At 37.1% G+C, this 21,000-nt stretch overlaps 1 protein-coding gene and 1 long non-coding RNA gene across 3 annotated transcripts in view; one reads left to right on the forward strand and one right to left on the reverse strand.

Moving 5' to 3' along the window:
• Positions 1-21,000, forward strand: part of IRGM (immunity related GTPase M) — a 55,882-nt gene that overhangs the window by 25,899 nt on the left and 8,983 nt on the right. Inside the window, exons 3-4 of one of the 2 annotated variants that reach the window (NR_170598.1) lie at positions 5,561-5,695; positions 7,166-7,227. Coding sequence is in view for 1 of the 2 variants with exons in the window: in NM_001346557.2 (NP_001333486.1) it covers positions 7,166-7,227 (62 nt within the window). In the remaining variant the exon portion in view is untranslated. The remainder of the gene's footprint in view (positions 1-5,560; positions 5,696-7,165; positions 7,228-21,000) is intronic. The other variant, NM_001346557.2, reaches the window with a different exon arrangement.
• LOC124901111 (uncharacterized) lies at positions 7,722-9,654 on the reverse strand. The gene is made up of 3 exons (XR_007058998.1): positions 9,502-9,654; positions 8,954-9,037; positions 7,722-7,930 (listed from the first exon to the last, which is right to left on the reverse strand). It is a non-coding gene; the product is annotated as an uncharacterized LOC124901111 (long non-coding RNA).

Genomic DNA, 21,000 nt, shown 5'->3' on the forward strand with positions numbered 1-21,000 from the left:
TATTCTCCTCAGGAACCACTCCCAACCTATAACTAGAAGCAGGCCCCTAGAGGTGAGGTTCATAGTGTGACCCACAAGGAGGTGTGCTACATTCCAAAAGAACTACTTGAGTTTTCTAATTTATATAAGCAGAAATCTGGAGAACAGGCAGGGGAATGGCTATTAAAGGTGTGGGATAATGTTGGAAGAAACATAGAGGTTGATCAGGCTGAATTTATTGATTAGGGCCCACTACACAGGGATTATGCATTTAATGTTGCAGCTCAGGAAGTTAAAAAGGTTCTAATTGTTGGTTTGCTTGGTTAGCTGAAATATGGGTTAAAAGATCGCCCACTGTGGGTGAGCTGGAAATGCCTAATCTCCCTTGGTGTAATGTACAGGGAGGGATCAAAAGGCTTAGGAAGATTGGGATGCTGGAGTGGATTAGTCACTTTAGACCTACTCATCCAAGCTGGGAGGGTCCAGAAGACATACCCTTCACTAATACTTTGCAAAACAGATTCGTGAGGGCAGCATCTGCATCCTTGAAGAGCTCTGTGATTGCTCTTCTCTGTATGCCAGATCTAACAGTGGGAACCGCAGTCACTCAACTACAAAATTTAAATGCAATGGGAATAATTGGATCCCGAGGTGGCACGAGCCAAGTGGCGGCACTCAACCATCAAAGGCAAGGTGGGCATAGCTACCATAATGGACAGCAGAGGCAAAGCAGCCATCAGAATAGTCTGACTCATGTAGAGCTCTGGCATTGGCTAATTAATCACAGTGTTCCTAAAAGTGAAATTGATAGGAAGCCCACTGCATTCTTACTTAATTTATATAAGCAGAAAACTTCCAGGCTGAGTGGACAAAAGACTAATTTGAATTATATAAACAGAATCACAGCCCCTCAATCAATTTCCAGACTTGAACCAGTTTACAGACCTAGAACCCCTTCAATGAAGAGGAGGCCAGGTCCCCTTGAGGAATGACCCCACTACACTACCAACAATTTATGCTGTTAATCTTTCTCCCATCCTTCCCCAAGGAGACCTCTGGCCTTTTACCAGGATAACTATGCACTGGGGAAAGGGAAATGATCAGACATTTTGAGGACTACTGGACACTGGCTCTGAGCTGACACTGATTTCAGGGACCTAAAACATCATTGTGGCCTTCCAGTAAAAGTAGAGGCTTATGGAGATCAGGTAATTAATGGAGTTTTAGCTTTTGTCTGACTTACAGTGGGTCCAGTGGGTCCCTGGACTCATCCTGTGGTCATTTCCCCAGTGCTGGAATGCATAATTGGCATAGACATACTTTGCATCTGGCAGAACCCCCACAGTGGCTCCCTGACTGGTAGGGTGAGGGCTATTATGGTGGGAAAGACCAAATGGAAGCCATTAGAGCTGCCTCTACCTAGAAAAATAGTAAATCAAAAACAATATCACATCCCTGGAGGGATTGTAGAGATTAGTGCCACCATCAAAAACTTGAAAGATGCAGGGTTGGTGATTCCCACTACATCCCAGTTCAACTCTCTTATTTGGCCTGTGAAGAGGACAGATGGATCTTGGAGAATGACAGTGGATTATCATAAGCTTAACCAAGTGGTGACTCTGATTGCAGCTACTGTACCAGAAATGGTTTCATTGCTTGAGCAAATTAACACATCTCTTGGTACCTGGTATGCAGCCATTGATTTGGCAAATGCCTTTTTCTCCATTCCTGTCCATAAGGCCCACCAGAAGCAATTTGCCTTCAGCTAGCAAGGCCAGCAATATCCTATCTTTGGGGTATATCAACTCTCCAGCTTTGTGTCATAATCTTGTTTGGAGAGATCTTGATCACTTTTCCCTTCCCCAAGATATCAAACTGGTCTGTTACATTGATGACATTATGCTGATTGGACCCAGTGAGCAAGAAATAGCAAACACGCTGGATTTGTTGGTGGGACATTTGTATGCCAGAGGATGGGAAATGAATCTGACTAAAATTCAGGGACCTTCTACCTCAGTAAAAGTTCTAGGAGTTCAGTGGTTGGGGCCTGTCGAGATATTCCTTCTAAGGTGAAGGATAAGTTCTGCATTTGGCCCCTTCTACAACAAGGAAAGAGGCATAACACCTAATGGGCCTATTTAGATTTTGAAGACAACATATTCCTCATTTGGGTGTGTTATTCTGGCTCATTTATTGAATGACCCAAAAGGCTGCCACTTTTGAGTGAGGTCCAGAACAGGAGAAGGCTCTGCAACAGGTCCAGGCTGCTGTGCAAGCTTTTCTGCCATTTGGGCCATATGACCCAGCAGATCCAATGGTGCTTGAGGCACAGTGGCAGACAGGAATGTTGTTGGGAGCCTTTGGCAGGCCCTCATAAGTGAATCACAATGGAGGCCTCTAGGATTGTGGAGCAAGGCTCTGCTATCTTTTTCAGATAACTACTCTCCTTTTGAGAGACAGCTCTTGGCCTGTCACTGGGTTTTGGTGGAAACTGAACATTTGACTATGGGTCATCAAGTTACCATGCAACCTGAACTGTCTATCATGAACTGGGTGCTTTCTGACCCATGTAGCCATAAAGTGGGGCACGCACAGCAGCATTCCATCATCAAATGGAAGTGGTGTATACGTAATTGGGCTTGAGCAGGTCTTGAAAGCACACGTAAGTTACATGAGGAAGTGGCTCAAATGCTTATGTACTCCACTCCTGCAACCCTGCCTTCTCTCCCTCAGCCTGCACTGTTGGTCTCATGGGGAGTTCTTTATGATCAGTTGACAGAGAAAGAGAAGACTAGTGCCTGGTTCACAGATGGTTCTGCATGACATGCAGGCACCACCCAAAAGTGGACAGCTGCAGCAATACAACCTCTTTCTAGGACATCCCTGAATGACAGTGGTGAAGGAAAATCTTCCCAGTGGGCAGAACTTTGAGCAGTGCACCTGGCTGTGCACTTTGCGTGGAAGGAAAAATGGCCAGACGTGAAATTATATACTGTAGCCAATGGTTTGGCTGGATGGTTAGTGACTTGCAAGAAATATGACTGGAAAATTAGTGACAAAGAAATTTGGGAAATAGGTATGTGGATGGACCTCTCTGAGTGGTCAAAAACTGTGACATTTGTATCCCATGTGATTGTTCACCAACGGGCCACCTCAGCAGAGGAGGATTTTAATAATCAAGTGGATAGGATGACTCATTCTGTGGACACCACTCAGCCTCTATCCCCAGCCACCCCTGTAATTGCCCAATGGGCCCATGAACAAAGTGGCCATGGTGGCAGGGATGGAAGTTACACATGAGCTCAGCAACATAGACTTCCACTCACCGAGGCTGACCTGGCTACGGCCACTGCTGAGTGCCCAATTTGCCAGCAGCAGAGACCAACACGGAGCCCTTGATATGGCACCATTCCTTGGGGTGATCAGCCAGCTAGTTGGTGGCAGGTTCATTATATTGGGCCTCTTCCATCATGGAAAGGACAGCAATTTGTCCTCACTGGAATAGACACTTACTCTGGATATGGGTTTGCCTATCCTGTGTACAATGCTTCTGCCAAGACTTCCACTCATGGACTCACAGAATGCCTTATCCACCATCCACCATCATGGTGTTCCACACAGCATTGCCTCTGACCACGGCACTCACTTTACGGCTAAAGAAGTGTGGCACTGTGCTCATACTCATGGAATTCACTGGTCTTACCATGTTCCCCATCATCCTGAAGCAGGTGGAATGCCCTTTTGAAGTCACACTTACAACACCAACTATGTGACAATACTTTGCAGGGCTGGGGCAAAGTTATCCAGAGGGCTGTGTATGCTCTGAATCAGCATCCAATATATGGTACTGTTTCTCCCATAGCCAGGATTCACAGGTCCAGAAATCAAGGGGTGGAAGTGGAAGTGGCACCACTCTCCATCACCTCTAATGACACACTAGCAAAATTTTTGTTTCCTGTTCCCATGACATTATATTCTGCTGGCCTAGAGGTCTCAGTTCCAGAGGGAGGAATGCTGCCAACAGGGGAAACAATAACGATTCAATTTAACTGGAAGTTAAGATTGCCACCTGGACACTTTTCCTACCTAAGTCAACAGGCTAAGAAGGGAGTTACAGTGTTGGTTGGGGTGATTTTCCCAGACTATCAAGATGAAATCAGTCTACTACACCACAGTGAAGCTAAGGAAGAGTATGTGTGGAATACAGGAGTTAGGGCATCTCTTAGTTTTACCATGCCCTGTGATGAGGGTCATTGGGAAACTGCAACAGCCCTATTCAGGCAGAACTGCAAATGGGTTCCAGACCCCTCAGGAATGAAGGTTTGGGTCACTCCACCAGGTAAAAAACCACGACCTGCTGAGGTGCTTGCTGAAGTCAAAGGGAATACAGAATGGGTAGTAGAATAAGGCAGTCATCGATGCCAGCTACGACCATGTGACCAGTTGCAGAAATGAGGACGATAATTGTCATGAGTATTTCCTCCTTATTTTGTTAAGAACATGTTTGTGCATTTATACACTTGTACTAAGAAAATATTTTATTTCCTTTTTTCTTCATCATATAAGATTTATTGACTTTATATTAGCATTTAAGCGTTGTTAATTTTATGTAATAGCATTTGGGTTGGGGATTGGTGCATTTCCAGTTGTACGAAGAATAGTTGCATTATGTTAGGTGTAATTATGACCTTATTATTGTCTTTGTTTGAAGATTATGTATGGTTTCAGGAGATGTATATGGGTTCAAGTTGACAAGGGGAGGACTTGTGATGGTTAATATTGCCAACTTGATTGGAGTGAAGGATGCAGAGTATTGTTCCTGGGTGTGTCTGTGACGGTGTTGTCAAAGGAGATTAACATTTGAGTCAGTGGACTGGGAAAGGCAGACCCACACTCAATCTGGGTGAGCACATTCTAATCAGCTGCCAGTGAGGCCAGTATTAAAGCAGGCAGAAGAACGTGGGAAGACTAGACTGGTTTAGTCTTCCGGCCTACATCTTTCCCTCATGCTGAATGCTTCCTGCCATCGAATATCAGACTTCAAGTTCTTCAGCTTTGGTATTCAGACTGGCTTCCTTGCTCCTTAGCTTGCACACGGCCTACTGTGGCACCTCACCTTGTGATTATGTGAGTCAATACTCCTTAATGAACTCCCCTTTATATATACATCTATTAGTTCTGTCCCTCTAGAGAACCCTAATGTAGTAGGTGTTATTATTATTCCCCTTTTAAAGATGAAGAAATCAAAACACAGAGAGGGTAAGTAGCCTGCCCAGGATCACATAGGTTTTAAGACAGTGACACCTGAGGATAGGTTGGGTACCATGCTTGCTAACCCTATAGGGCAGTGACTTCACTCTGCAACCTTATGAAGCCCTCTGAATAATTACCTCATTTTTATTTTTTATTATTCAGAATTTCACGGGTGACCTAAATAACCACTAGGTGTTTTAGTTTCCTAGTTTGCATTTTTGCATAACTTAAAGATTTCAGGTCATTGAATTTCATTTGCTTATACTTTTTTGTTTGCATGTTTAAATCAATTTTGCTTCTTGTACAAAGCAAGCCTTGTTTTCCTCAGAGCTCTAGAAACCAACAAGTGTACCCAAACCACAGCCACGTACCTCTTGCTTGCTGAAAGGATCCTGAGAGAAAAGCAAGACAAAGAAATACAGATCAGCTCCGCAAGCCCTAGAAATAGCAAGGCCCAGCTCAGGTGAGAAAAAAAAATCTTCACTGATTTTAGTAAGTTTAAAGTTTGGAAATAGTAAACTTTTTTTTTTGTTGTTGTTGTTGTTAATGCTTCCTAACTTTGTGAGGCTAGAGAGTACAAATAGTGATCCCAACTTCCTGACTCAGCTTCCTGATCTGTAAAATGGGAGTAATAATACTCTCTACCTCATGAGATTGTGGTGAAAGATATGCAAATCAATAGATGTGACATACTTAGGACAGGGCTCCATGTGTTTGTTGCCATTGCTATGAATTTTTACCACCATTATTGTCTTCAGGAATAAATGACTACCCTTCTTCTCTCTTCCTTCCTCTACCTCTTCCTTCCTCTCTTCCTCTCTTCCAGCTCCTCCTCCTCTCTCCTCATCTTCCCACCTTTTTTTGCCATATTACTTTCCACTTAAAATAAAAACATAGAAAGGGTTTACTTTTTGAGCTCATCACTATGAAATTTATTTAGAATTTATCTTTATCCATTTAGATATAGGTAATTTGTAGAATTGTAGTAAAACTGAAGGGTATTCCCAATTCTGAATACATCTGATTTGTGCATCCAAATATGTATATTTATTACTGTTATAAGGTCTATATAATTATTATTATTGTGTAATTATTATTATTGGAAAAGATAAATGTATAATTATTGTTGTTATATTATTATTATTTAAAATTTGTTATGAGAATAATTATTATTGTCTCTTAGGATTCTTTCAGTAAGAAAGAAATAAGTGGCTGCAATGTGGGTATACCTGTTGGTTTCCAGGGCTCTAAGGAAAACAAAGTTTACTTTTTACAAGAGGTATAATTGATTTAATGAAGCAAATGAAAAAATACTAGCAAAATTCAATGACTTGGAATCTTTAAATTATGCAAAAATACACACTAGGGGTTAAAACACCTAGTAATTACTTAGGTCACTCTTGACTCTTGAAATTCTAAAAACAACTGCATAAAAATGTTCATATCAGTAAGAAAAATCCAAAATGCTGATGGTAGCTGAGATGGATGTCAGTGTTAGATGCATAAGAAAAGGTAATGAGTAAAAAGGGAAAGGTAAATGAAGCTTCCAAGGATGTGCAGGTTATCCAAAAATTTAATTGCATGCCAGTGTTTATTTTTGTTAAACTGGCTTACTTGCTTCCATCAGAAGTAAGAAATGTAGATGAGGTCTGTATTACATAAATGTGCATTGAAACACCAGTGTCAATCAGAAAAATTAGAAAAATCTTTGTTTTCAGATTCTCTTTGCATTTATTGGTAATTTAAGCACTAAAGAATTATTCATGTGTTAAGAATATGTCATCATTAACCTCTTTGAATGAAAGCAATGTATTCATTCATCCATTTAAAAAGTAATGCTTGCCAAGTACTTAGTCTGGCCAGGCACTGTGCTGGCTAGGCACTGGGGGTATAACTTCCACAAGGCTCACATTCCCTACCCACTCTCTTGCAGCTGGCCTGCCATGAGAAATACCTCAAGAGTACTCCAGAGAATTCCACAAGGCCCAGAAATATGTAAGTATTTAGAAACTTTCTACAGTGAAAATACACAATGAACACTAAGGATAGAAGCAACAGCTAAGATCACTTTTTATAAAACATAGTGTGGGTCACAGCTCATTGTGATGGGGTAGGCCAAGGCATGAGATTCCAGAGAAAGAGCCCAAGGTAAAATTCAAGGGTACACTTACTTCTTAGGGTGGCTTCTTCAGCTGAGTACCAGATAAAAAGATAGCTTGTGTTGAAGCAGTATATTGTAAGACTAAGGTGTGTCTTAAACTCAAGAATTACCCTCAGAATGAAAAGCTGCTCATAAACGTGAGCAGCAGGCAAGACCTAAGACTAGTTGAGGGATCAGCAGGCTCTAGTCTCCCACTTTCTTCCCTATATAAGATGTGTGCTTGCTAGTGGATGGGCAAACTGGAGTCATCTGAACCATTAAAATTCCTGTCTTTGGATTTATAATTGAATATACATTAATTAAATAGTTTTGTATGACTTCACTGTCATTATTTGTATAATTGTTTATTTAAGCTTAGAACATTCAGTCAATTGTGGGAGATATGAACAGCTTTTTATCCATTTGAAAATGCCACATTGTTTTCTACATATTCCTAAAGTGAGGGTCCTCGGCATGTGTAGCAAGTGTCCTGTTTGTTGTTCCTTGTTTCGTTCATTTAAGTGTCTGTGGGTATATCTGCAAAAACTCATAAGGCACCTGAAAAATTGTAGAAATTTATGCTTAAACCGAAATTAAGAACCTGGGTTTATTTTAGTAAATCTTTCTCTCCAGTTTTCTAGAAACATCCTAAAGATATATATCCTTTATACAGACACTAACCTTCTCAGGAACCACACACTCCCACTGAGTGTTGCCTGTGATAGTTTGCCCTATGCAGAGGTCCATCTGTAAGTCCAACTTGCAGCCTCCTGTCCTCCTAGGTCATGTATCTAGGTCACATCACTCACCCAGGCCAGGAAAGCCCTCCCAATGGGAACCCGCTTTTAAGTTGTCCAGAGTATACCTTCTTGCTATCATATTCAACTGTATCACTCAACATGTTAAATAACTTTCACTTTTCATGTGGGAAAATGTTTCATATTTTCATAAAGAGTACCTCATGGAAGTTAATCATCACTGAAACAAAACAACTGTGCCTTTGCTTTGTGTTGTCCTTGATTTCAAACGTCTTCAGTTATTAAAAAATGGTTGGGCTGGGCACAGTGGCTCATGCCTGTAATCCCAGCACTTCGGGAGGCTGAGGTGGGCAGAACACCTGAGGTCAGGAGTTTGAGACCAGCCTGTCCAATGTGGTAAAACCCCGTCTCTACTAAAAATACAAAAATTAGCCTGGCGTGGTGGCACATGCCTGTAATCCCAGCTACTCAGGAGGCTGACGCAGGAGAATCGCTTGAACCTGGGAGGTGGAGGTTGCAGTGAGCCAAGATCATGCCATTGCACTCCAGCCTGGGTGACAAAAGCGAAACTCCATATCAAAAAAAAAAAAAATAGCTTCGATTTTTAAATATCCAAGTATGGGAAGGCCAAAGGTCTCCCCAGATTCAATTCAAACAAGATGACACCAAGATATAATCAAACTGTCAAAAGTTAAAGAGAATTTTGAAAGCAAGAGAAAAGAAGCATATAACAGATAAGGAGTTCCAATTACAGGCCAGGAAAGAGTGGGATGATATATTTAAAGTGCTGAACGTGAAAATTTGCCAAACAAGAATACTGTACCTGGCAAACTGTGCTTCAGAAACAAAGAAGAGATAATGGCTTTCCCAGACAAACAAAAGCTGAGGGAGTTTATCATCACCAGACCTGTGTTACAAAAAAATGCTAAAGAGAGTTATTCAAGCTAAAGGAAAAGGACACTAGTAACATAAAAACATATGAAAGTATAAAAAAACTGGTGAAAGTGAGAACACAATAGAATTCAAAATGCCCTAATACTATCATGGTGGTGTGTGAATCACCTATATCTTTAGTATAAAAGTTAAAAGATAAAATTATTAAAAATAATAATAGCAATATCATCACTGCAATAATTTAAGGACTACACAATACAAAAAGATGTAAACAGCAATATCAACAACAACATGTGGGAGAGGGGCAGTAAAAGATTAGAGTTTTTTAATGTGATCAAAGATAAGTTGCTATCCAGTTAAAATAGCATAATCGGTGTAAGATATTTTATATAAGCCTTAGGAAAACCACAAAGCAAAAACCTATATTACTAACACAAAAGATAAAAAGTAAGGAATCAGCGAGGCACAGTGGCTCACCCTGTAATCCCAACACTTTGGGAGGCCGTGGTGGCCTGGATCCCTTGAGCCCAGGAGTTATTGACTGCCTGAGAAACATAATGAAGCACTGTCTCTGCAAAAAATACAAAAATTACACAGGTGTGGTGGCACCCACCTGTAGTCCCAGCTACTCAGGAGGCTGAGGTGGGAGACTCACCTGAGTCTGGGAAGTTGAGGCTGCTGTGAGCCATGATCTCAGTCTGGGAAGTCGAGGCTGCAGTGAGCCATGATCATGACACTGAACTCCAGCTTGGGGGACAGAATGAGGCCCTGTCTCAAAAAAAAGAAAAAAAAAAGAAAAAGAATCAATGTATGCTGTAAAGAAAATCACCTAACCACTAAAAAAGATAGCAAGAGAGGAAGAAAGGAACAAAGAATCTACAGAACAACCAGAAAATAATAATAAAATGATAGTACTAACTTCTTACTTATCAATAATTATCTTGAATGTAAATAGATTAAATTCTTCAATCAAAAGAGAGAGTGAATAAATGATTTTTTTAAGTGACCCAACTGTATGCTGCTAAGAGAGACTCACTTCAACTTTATAACTGAAAGTCATATGGAAAGAAAGTGAAAGGATGAAAAAAGATAAACCATGTAAATAAAAACCAAGAGAGCAGGAGTGCCTATACTTATATCAGATAAAATAAACTTTAAGTCAAAACTTCAAAAAGAGACAAAATTGCTATGTAACCATCAGGGAATCAATTCATCAAGAAGATATAACAATTGTGAATACATACGCAACCAACATCTGAGCACTTAGATGAATGGAGCAAATATGAATAGATCTGAAGGAAGATATAGATTGCAATACAAAAATAGTAAAGGACTTCTCTACCGCAGCTTCAACAATGGACAGATTATCCAGACAGAAAATCAATAAGGAAACATCAGACTTAAACTACACTTTAGACCAAAGGGACCTAACAGACATATACAGAAAATTTCATCCAAAAGCAGCATAATATACATTCTTTTCAAGTGCACATAGAATATTCTCCAATATAGATCGTGTGTTCACAAAACAAGAAATAACAAATACAAAAGGATTAAAATTATTTCAATTATCTTTTCCAGCCAAAATGGTATGAAACTAGAAATCAATAACAGAAGGAATTTTGGGAATTTCTACATATTTCATGGAAATTAAACAGCATGCTAACAACCAATGGATCAATGAATAAATTTAAAGGAAAACTAAAAAATATCTTCAGACAAATTAAAGTGGAAACAAAATATATCAAAATATAAGAAATGCAGGAAAAGCAGTTCTTTTTCTAAATAATACTCTATTGCGCACTAATGAAAAAGCAGTTCTAAAAGAAAAGTTTATAGCAATAAATGCCTACACCACAGATAAAGATCTCAAAAAAACAACGTAGTGTTATACCTCAAGGAACTAAAAAGATAAGAAAAACTAAGCCTAGAGTAGTAGAAAGAAGGAAATAATAAAGATCAGAGCTGAAATAAATAAAATAGAAACAAGACAAACAATAGAAAGATCAAATAAACTACATTTGTTTCTTGAAAAGATAAACAAATTGACAAACCCTTAGCTAGACTAAGAAAAAAAGCAAGAAGACAAAATCAGAAATGAGTTGGAATACCTGAAATACATTACATTACAATTGAAATACAAAGGATTATGAGACTACTATGAACAATTATAGGCCATCAAATTTAATAACCCACCAGAAGTGAATAAATTCCTAGACACATACAACCTACCAAGACTGAAACATGCAGAAATATAAAATCTGAAAAGACCAATAATAAGTAAGGTGATGAAAGTAGTAAGAAAAAGTCTCCCACCAAAGAAAAGCCCAGGACCTGATGGCTTCATTACTAAATTCTACAAAGTATGTAAAGAAATAGTACCAATTCTTCTCAAACTCTTCAAAAAAAATTAAAGAAGAAGGAACACTTCCAAACTGATTTTATAGGGTCAGCGTTACTCTGAAACCAAATCCAGATAAAGACACTACAAGAAAAGAAAACTGTAAGCTAATATCCCTGATGAACATAGATGCAAAAATCCTCAACAAAATACCATGAAATCAAATGTAACAGTATATTAAATGGATCGCTCACCACAATCAAGTGGAGTTTATTCCAGGAATACAAAGATGGTTCAATATTCACAAATCTATAAATCTATAATGTGATATATCACATTAACGGAATGAAGGACAAAAGCCATATTATCATATCAATAGATTCAGAAAAAGCATTTGATAAAATTAAATATTTTTCATAAGGAAAAATATACTTTATACTTTATATTTATACTTTATACTTATATTTATACTTTTCTATGGCGGCATAGTATTCCATGGTGTATATGTACCACATTTTCTTTATCCAATCTGTCATTGCTGAGCATTTAGGTTGATTCCATGTCTTTGCTATTGTGAGTAGAGTTGCAGTGAATATTTGAATGCATATGTCTTCACAGTAGAATGATTTATATTCCTCTGGGTATATACCCAGTAATGGGATTGCTGATTTGAATGGTAGTTTTGCTTTTAGCTCTTTGAAGAATCACCATACTGCTTTCCACAATAGTTGAACTAATTTACACTTTCACCAACCGTGTATAAATGTTCTTTCTTCTCCACAACCTTGCCAGCATTTGTAATTTTTTGGCTTTTTAGTAATAGCCATTTTAACTGGTATGAGATGTTATCTCATTGTGGTTTTGATTTACACTTCTCTAATGATCAGTGATATTTAGCTTTTTAAAATATGATTGTTGGCCACATGTATGTCTTATTTTGAAGTGTCCATTCATGTCATTTGTCCACTTTTTAAATGGGGTTGTTTTTCTCTTGTAAATTTGTTTAAGTTCCTTATAGATGTTGGATATTAGACCTTTGTCAGACTCATAGTTTGCAAATATTTTCTCCACCCTGTAGGTTATCTATTTACTCTGTTGATGGTTTCTTTTGCTGTGCAGAAACTCTGTAGTTTAATTAGATCCCATTTGTCAACTGTCACGTTTGTCATGATTGCTTTTGGTGTTTTTGTCATTAAATCTTTGCCCATTCCTATATCCAGGATGGTATTGCCTAGGTTGTCTTCCAGAATGTTTATAGTTTTGGGTTTAACATTTCAGTCTTTAATCCATCTTGGTTAATTTTTGTATATGGTGTAAGAAAGGGGTTCAGCTTCAATCTTCTTTATATGGATAGCCAGTTTATTAACCCAGCACCATTTATTGAATAGGGAGTCTTTTTCCCATTGCTTTTGTCAGCTTTGTTGAAGATCAGATGGTCCCAGGTGTGCAGCCTTATTTTGGAGCTCTCTATCCTGTTCCATTGGTCTATGTGCCTGTTTTTGTACTAGTACCAAGCCATTTTGGTTACTGCAGCACTGTAGTATAGTTTGAAGTTGGGTAACATAATGCCTCCAGCTTTGTTCTTTTTGTGTAGGATTGCCTTGGCTACTTGAGATCTTTTTGTCTTCCATATGAATTTTAAAATTGATTTTTAAAAATAGTTCTCTGAAGAATATCCTTGGTAATTAGGTAGGAATAGCATTGAATCGGTTATTTGGTTTGGGAAGTACGCCCATTTTAATGATATTATTTTTATCCATGAGCATGGGATGTTTTTCCATTTGCTTGCATCTTCTCTGATTTCTTTGAGCATTGTTTTGTAATTCTTATTGTAGAGATCATTCACCTCTCCGGTTAGCTGTATTCTTAGGTATTTTATTATTTTTATGGCAATTGTGAAAGGGATTGCCTTCCTGATTTGGCTCTTGGCTTGGCTGTTGTTGGTGTATAGGAATGCTGCTGATTTTTGTAAACTGATTTTGCATCCTGAAACTTGCTAAAGTTGTTCATTAGCTAAAGAAGCTTTTGAGCTGAGACTATGGGGTTTTTTAGATATAGAACCGTGCTATCTGCAAACAGAGATCGTTTTACTTCTTCCCTTCCTCTTTGGATGCTCTTTATTTCTTTTACCTGATTGCTCTGGCTAGGGCTTCCAATATTATGTTGAAGAGTGGTGAGAGAGGGTATCCTGTCTTGTGCCAGTTTTCAAGGAAGATGTCTCCAGCTTTTGCCCATGCAGTATGATGTTGGCTGTTTGTCACAGATGGCTCTTAGTATTTTGAGGTATGTTTCTTCAATATCTATTTTATGGAGAGCTTTTAAGATGAAAGCATGTTGAATTTTATTGAAAGCATTTTCTTCATCTATTGAGATAATCATGTGGCTTTTGTCTTTAGTTCCGTTTATGTGATGAATCACATTTATTTATTTTCTTATGTTGAAGCAAACTCACATCCCAGGAATGAAGCCTACTTGATCGTGGTGTATTGCTTTTTGATGTGCTGCTGGATTTGGTTTGCAAATATTTTGTTGAGGATTTTTGCATCAATGTGTATCAATATTGGCCTAAAGTTTTCTTTTTTTGTTGTGTCCTTGCCAAGTTTTGGTATCAGAATTATGCTGTTTTTATAGAATGAATTGGGGAGGAGTCCCTCATCCTCAATTTTTTGGAATAGTTTCAGTAGGAATGGTACCAGCTTTTCATTGTACATACAGTAGAATTCACCTGTGAATCCATGAAGTCCTAGGCTTTTTTTGGTTGGTAGGCTACTTGTTACTGATTCAATTTCAGAGCTCATTATTGGTCTGTTCAGGAAATCAATTTTTTCCTGGTTCAATCTTGGGAGCATGTATACGTCTAGGAATTTACCCATCTCTTCTAGGATATTTTAGTTTGTGTGCATAGAGATGTTCAAAGTAGTTTCTGATGGTTATTCTTATTCCTATGGGGTTAGGGGTAACATTCTCCTCATCATTTCTAATTGTGTTTATTTTGATGTTTCCTCTTTTTTTCTTTATTAGTCTAGCTAGTGACCTATCTTTCTTTTCAATTTTTTCAAGAAAACCAACTACTGGATTTATTGACCTTTTGAATGATTTTTTTTGTGTCTTGATTTCCTTCAGTTCAGCTCTGATTTTGGTTATTTCTTGTCTTTTGATAGCTTTGGAGTGGATTTGTTCTTGCTTCTCTAATTTTTTCCATTGTGATGTTAGGTTGTTAATTTGAGATCTTTCTAATGTTTTGATGTGGGCATTTAGTGCTATGAATTCCCCTCTTAACACTGCACAAGAGTTCTGAATTAGGTTGAGCTGGCTGAAATGACAGAAATGCAATTCAGAATATGGACAGAAACAAAGATCATGAAGATTCAGGAGAACAACAAAACCCAATCCAAGACAACTAAGAATCAAAATAAAACAATACAGGAGTGGAAGGATGAAATAGCTGGTATAAAACAACTTAATGGATCTGACAGAGCTGAATAACACAATACAAGAATTTCACAATGCAATCACAAGTAATAACAACAGAATAGACCAAGTAGAGGAAAAAATCTCAGAACTTGAAGACTGGCTCTCTGAAATGAGACAATCAGACAACAATAAATAGGAAAGAATTAAAAGGAATGAACAAAACCTCCAAGAAGTATGGAGTTATGTAAAGTGTCTAAATCTATGAATCATTGGCATTCTTCAAAGGGAGGAAGCAAACAACTTGGAAAATGTATTTCAGGCTATCATCCATGAAAACTTCCCCAACCTTGCTAGTGAGGCCAACAATTAAATTCAGGAACTACAGAGAACTCCTGCAAGATTCTACAGAAGAAGATCATCACCAAGACCCATAATTGTCAGGTTTTTCAAGGTCAAAATGAAAAAAAAAAAAAAAAGACTGTTAAAGGCAGCTAGAGAGAAATGACAGGTCACCTGCAAAGAAAACTTCATCAGGCTAACAGTGGACCTCTCAGCTGAAACCTTACAAGCCAGGAAAGATTTAAACCTGCCTCACATGAGGTCTTGAAAGGAGTGCTAACTATAGAAAGGAAAGACTCCTACCAGCTAATACCAAAGCACTCTTAAATACAGAGACCAGTAACACTATAAACCAACCACACCAACAAGCCAGCATAATAACCAGCTAAGAGCACAATGACACACATCAACAATAACCTTGAATGTAAATGGGCTAAGTGCCTCCACTTAAAAGGCACTGAGTGGCCCGCTGGATAAAAAAGCAAGACCCAATGGTATGGTGTCTTCAAGAGCATATCACACATAATGACACCCATAGTCTCAAAAAAAAGGGATGGAGGGAAATTTACCAAGCAAATGAAAACCAGAAAAAAGCAGGGATTGCAATTCTGATTTCAGACAAGAAAAAACAAACAAACAAACGAAAAACAGACTTTAAACCAGCAAAGATTTAGAAAGACAAAGAAGGGCATTACATAATGGTAAAGGGTTCAATTCAACAAGAAGGTCTAACTATCCTAAATATAAATGCAGCCAACACAAAAAAAGCAAGTTCTTAGAGACCTACAAAGAGACACAGACTCCCACATAATAAAAGTGGGAGACTCTAACACTCCACTGATATTGTTAGATAGATCATTGAGGCAGAAAATTAACAAAGATATTTAGGACCCAAACTCAACATTGGACCAAATGGATCTGATAGAATGGATCTATAGAACTCTCCACCCAAAAATAACAGAATATACATTCTTCTCATTGCCACATGGTGCACACTCTAAAATTGGCCACATAATTTGACATAAAACAATCCTTGGCAAATGCAAAAGAACGAAAATTATACCAAACACACTCTCAGACCACAGAATAATAAAAATAGGAGTCAAGACTGAGAAAATCACTCAAAACCATGAAAATTAACATGGTTCTGAATGACTATGGGGTAAATAATGAAATTATGGCAGAAACCAAGAAGTTCTTTGAAACTAATGAAAACGAAGATACAACATACCAGAATCTCTGAGACACAGCTAAGGCAGTTCATTGAATTTTACACAAAAAATATTGGCTGATATTTTGATAGAGATTGTGTTAAATCTATGGACGAATTTGGGGAGAATTAATATCTTAACAACATTGAGCCTTCCAACCAATAAACTAGATCTATTTCTCTATTTTGGTCCTTCTAAATTTCTTTCAGCAATGTTCTATAATTGTCACATATTTTATTATGTCTATTCATGTTTCATATTTAAATGCTATTGCAAGTAGTATTGTTTTCAAATTTCAATTTCTGATTGTTTATTGTGGAGTTTTGTCTATTGACCTTGTATCCTAAGATCTTACTAATCTCAAATATTAGTTGTTAGTATTTTTTTTCAAGATTTAAAATTTTTTACATACATGACCGTATTAGTTCGTTTTCATGCTGCTGACAAAGACATACCCAAGACTCTGCTGTTTACAAAAGGAAGAGATTTAATGGACTCACAGTTCCACATGGCTGGGGAGGCCTCACAATCATGGCAGAAGGTGAAAAGCACATCTCACATGGTGCCAGACAAGAGAAGAGAACTTGTGCAGGGAAACTCCCCCTTTATAAAACCATCAAAGCTCATGAGACTTATTTACTATCACAAGAATAGCACAGGAATGACCTGCTCCCATAATTCAATTACCTCTCACCAGGTCCCTCCCACAACATGTGGGAATTGTGGGAGCTACAATTCACGATGAGATTTGGGTGGGGACACAGCCAAACCATATCAACTAGCATATCATCTGCAAATAGAGTTTTACTTCTTTTTTTCCAAACTGAATGCCATTTTTTGGCTATTGTACTGCCTTGGACCTCCAGTATATTGATCACTAGAAATGACAGAGAAGACATCCTTGCTTTGTTCTTTATTTTAAAAAAACACTCAGTCTTTCACTATATGATATTAACTGTAGGGTTTTCACTTCCTTTTTATCTATGAAGAAGTTCCTTTTTAGATGATTTTTGTCAAATACTTTTTTTCATCTTTTGAGATAATATGGTTTCCCTTTTTGTTTGCTAATGTGGTGACTTACATTGATTGATTTTCAAATGTTAATCTAACCTTGCATTTCTGAGAGAAAACCTACTTGGGTCTTGATGTATTATCCTTTTTATATAATGTGATATTATTGTTTAGACTTTTGCATCAATAGTTATGAGGGATATTGGTCTGTAGTTTTATTTTCTTATAATATCTTCTGGTTTTGTATCATGGTGATGCTGACCTAATATAATGAATTGGGAACTATCCCTTCCTCTTCAATTTTGTGGAAAAGCTTGTATAGAATTTGAATTGTTGCCTCTTTAAATATTGTTTGGTTTGAGACAGTTCACCAGTGAAGGTCTATGATCCTGAATTTGATAAGGTTTTACACTACAAGTTGAATTTTAAAAATTGATATAGGACTATTTATGTTAATATCTATTTCTTCTCGAGTAAGGTGTGGTAGTTTGTATCTTTCAAAGGATTTGTCCACTTCATCTGTTATCAAGTTTATTGGTATTAAGATGTTCATAATCTTCCCTTATTATTTTTTTGTATGTCTGTAAAGTCTGTAGTAATGTCACTTCTCTCATTTCTGATTTGAATAATTGTGTCCTCTCTTTTTTCCTGAGTCTGACATATCTATCTTCTCAAACAGTCAGCTTTTGATGTATTTTCTTTTTTTCTATTTAATTTATGCTTTGAACCAATCATTCTGCTGTTTATAATGCATTTCATTTTTTCCTACTCCTATCTTCTTAAGGTAGAAACTGATTCATTGAGACTTTTCTTCTTTTCTAATGCATTCCTTTAGCACTTTAAATTTCTCTTTAAGAACTACTTTACGGACATTTCACAAATGTTGATATAGTTGTGTTTTTATTTTCATTAAGTTCAAAATGCTTCATTTCCTTTTTGATTCATTCTTTGACTAATGGGTTATTTAGAAATGTGTTATTACTTTCCATATATTTGGTATTTTCCACATATTTTCATGTTATTTATTTCTAATGTAATTGATTTCTAATGAATTAAATTAGAATCACATGAGAATGAGTCACCTTACCTTTTAAATTTATTGCTCTGTCTTGGTAAATGCTTCACATGGACTTAAAAATGTGTATTGTACCATTTTGGGGTGGGATGTTCTACAAATGTCAACTAGGTCAAATTGGTTGATTTTGCTGTTCAAGTCTACCTACTATAACCTTACTAATTATCTTCTCATTCTCTCAATTAGTGAGAATGTATTGAAATTTCTAACTGTAATTGTGGATTTGTCTATTTTTCCTTTGAAGTTTTATCAGTTATTGCTTCATGTATGGTGAAGCTCTGCTATTAAGTGCATAAGTGTTTAGGATTATGTTCTCATGATAAACTGATTCCTTTATCACTATGAACTGGTCTTTTAAAAATCTCTTAGTTAGTATTTATCCTGAAATATATTTTATCTGATATTAACATAGGCCTTCCAGATTTCTTTTGTGTTATCATAGTATATCTTTTTTCCATTCTTTTACTTTGAATCCATTTATGTCTTTACATTTAAAGTGTGTTTCTTGTAGGCAGCATATAGTCTCTGCGTTTTTATCTAATATGACAATCTCTTCCCCTAATTGGTGTCTTTAGATCATTTATGTTTAATCTGAGTATATCATTAGATTAAGACTATCATTTTGTTTTCTATTTGTTCTGTTTTTTGTTCTTTTTCTACCTTGTTTTGGATTATTTGTTATGATTACTTCTCTTCTTTTTGGATTTAAGCTATAACTCTGTTTTGTTATTTTAGTGGTTTAGCATTTGTACTACACATTTTTAGCTTTTCCCAATCTACTGCCAAGTTATATTGTGCCACTTCATGTATAGTAAAAGAGACAATATGAACATGACCATGTTTTGCCAGCAGATGACCATGTAGCCATTCCAATGACAGGCACTGATTTTGGCCTATCTCTGGCAGCTGTAATTGTGTATGATATGGCACTTTTCAGGCAGCCACATCCATGAACACGCTGAGATTTTCCGTAGATGTGGAATTTCAAAGCAGTGTTAGACATTAAATCAAGCTTCCTGTTGGTCTTCTCAACAACAAAATCCAGGGCCAGGATCTTTTAATTTTTTGGCAAACTAGCAAAAAAAGAGTATCATCAACCAGAACACAACTCCCAAGGGACTAAATTTCTATACTTTCCAATCCTACAGGGTCAAAGCTCAGGGCATTCACTGAATATTTAGCATCAATCACATCCCCAATGTTCTGCAGATAAGAATCATCTTAACTCATTTAAAGATCCAACATGATTATCATAGGTCTGTATTCCCAATAAACTATCTCACTGTCAGGATGTATAAGTCATTTTTGAACACTAAAACATAAGGATTAAGATTAAATTTTTTATTAAATGGTGACATTAAGTGTTTTTATGGAGTTTTTTTTTTTCAATATTGAAGTTTGGCTAAATAATAGGAGCATCTGCATGCAAGCATCATGTATCATGAACCAATTCAGAAAACGGTGTGGAAGATTAACTGTGTTAATTACAGAAGGGAAAGGGAGGCAGGAGAGGCAGCATAACATAATTGTTAAGTGTGTAGACTCTAGAATCAGAATATCTGAGTTTTAATTAATCTCTCCAAATTATTTAGATATTTTGCAAAACCTGTTTATTAGGTCTAGTAAATATTTTGTGCAGTTTTGAGATCTTCTACATAGAAGGATATGTTGTCTACAAATAACAACACTTTTATCTCTTCCTTTCCAGGTTGCAAGCCCACTCCCTACTTTGCTTTTCTTATTGCACTGGCTAAATTCACCAGTGTAATGTTAACTAGAAAGAGTCAAGTAAATATTCTTGCCTTTTTCCAGCCATTAAATATGATGTTTACTGTAGGTTTTTTATCTATGCCCTTTAACTATTTGAGGAGGCTGCCCTTTATTCCCAGTTTACTTAAAGGTTTATTATTTTTTCAATCTACAATACATTTTTTTGAGACAGGGTCTCATTCTGTCACCCAGGCTGGAGTGCAGTGGTGCAATCACTGCAGCCTTGAGCTCCTGGGGTCAAGGTGTCCTCCCACCTTGTCCTCTTAAAGTATGGGGATTACGGACATGAGCCACAATTTTCTTGTTTTGTTGTTCCTATTTTGTGTGTTTTCCTATTTCTTCATCTTCTTTTATTTTTATCATGTCCTTTTTATTTTTTTGGAGTTAGATCACAGCGTTTTTTTATTCTAACCTATTGAGACTGTTGCTTAGGTATTTTCAGGCTTTCTTTTTGCCTGATCTATACTTACTGCTATACATTGTCCTCTATTATAGGTTTAGGCAGAGTAAATTTTGTGAATGGTATGCAGTAAATTTGTTTTTTCTTTGTTTTACCCATTTGGATAACTGAGCCAGAGGCATTACTGAAAAGGTGAGTTTCCTCCCATTGTTCTAGAATGCCAACTTTGTCATAATTCAAGTGTCTACAGGTAATTATCAGTTTTCAGATTCTCTTTTACCATTGATCTACATGATTACTCGTGTAACACCACATTGCCTTAATTACCACTGTTTTATAAGAAGTCTAATAAGTTATCCAAATTTGTTCTTCAAAAGTGTCTTAGCTACTCTTGCCTTGGGGCATTTCTGTATAT

Source organism: Homo sapiens, chromosome 5, assembly GCF_000001405.40.
Source record: "Homo sapiens chromosome 5, GRCh38.p14 Primary Assembly".
Lineage (NCBI taxonomy): Eukaryota > Metazoa > Chordata > Mammalia > Primates > Hominidae > Homo > Homo sapiens.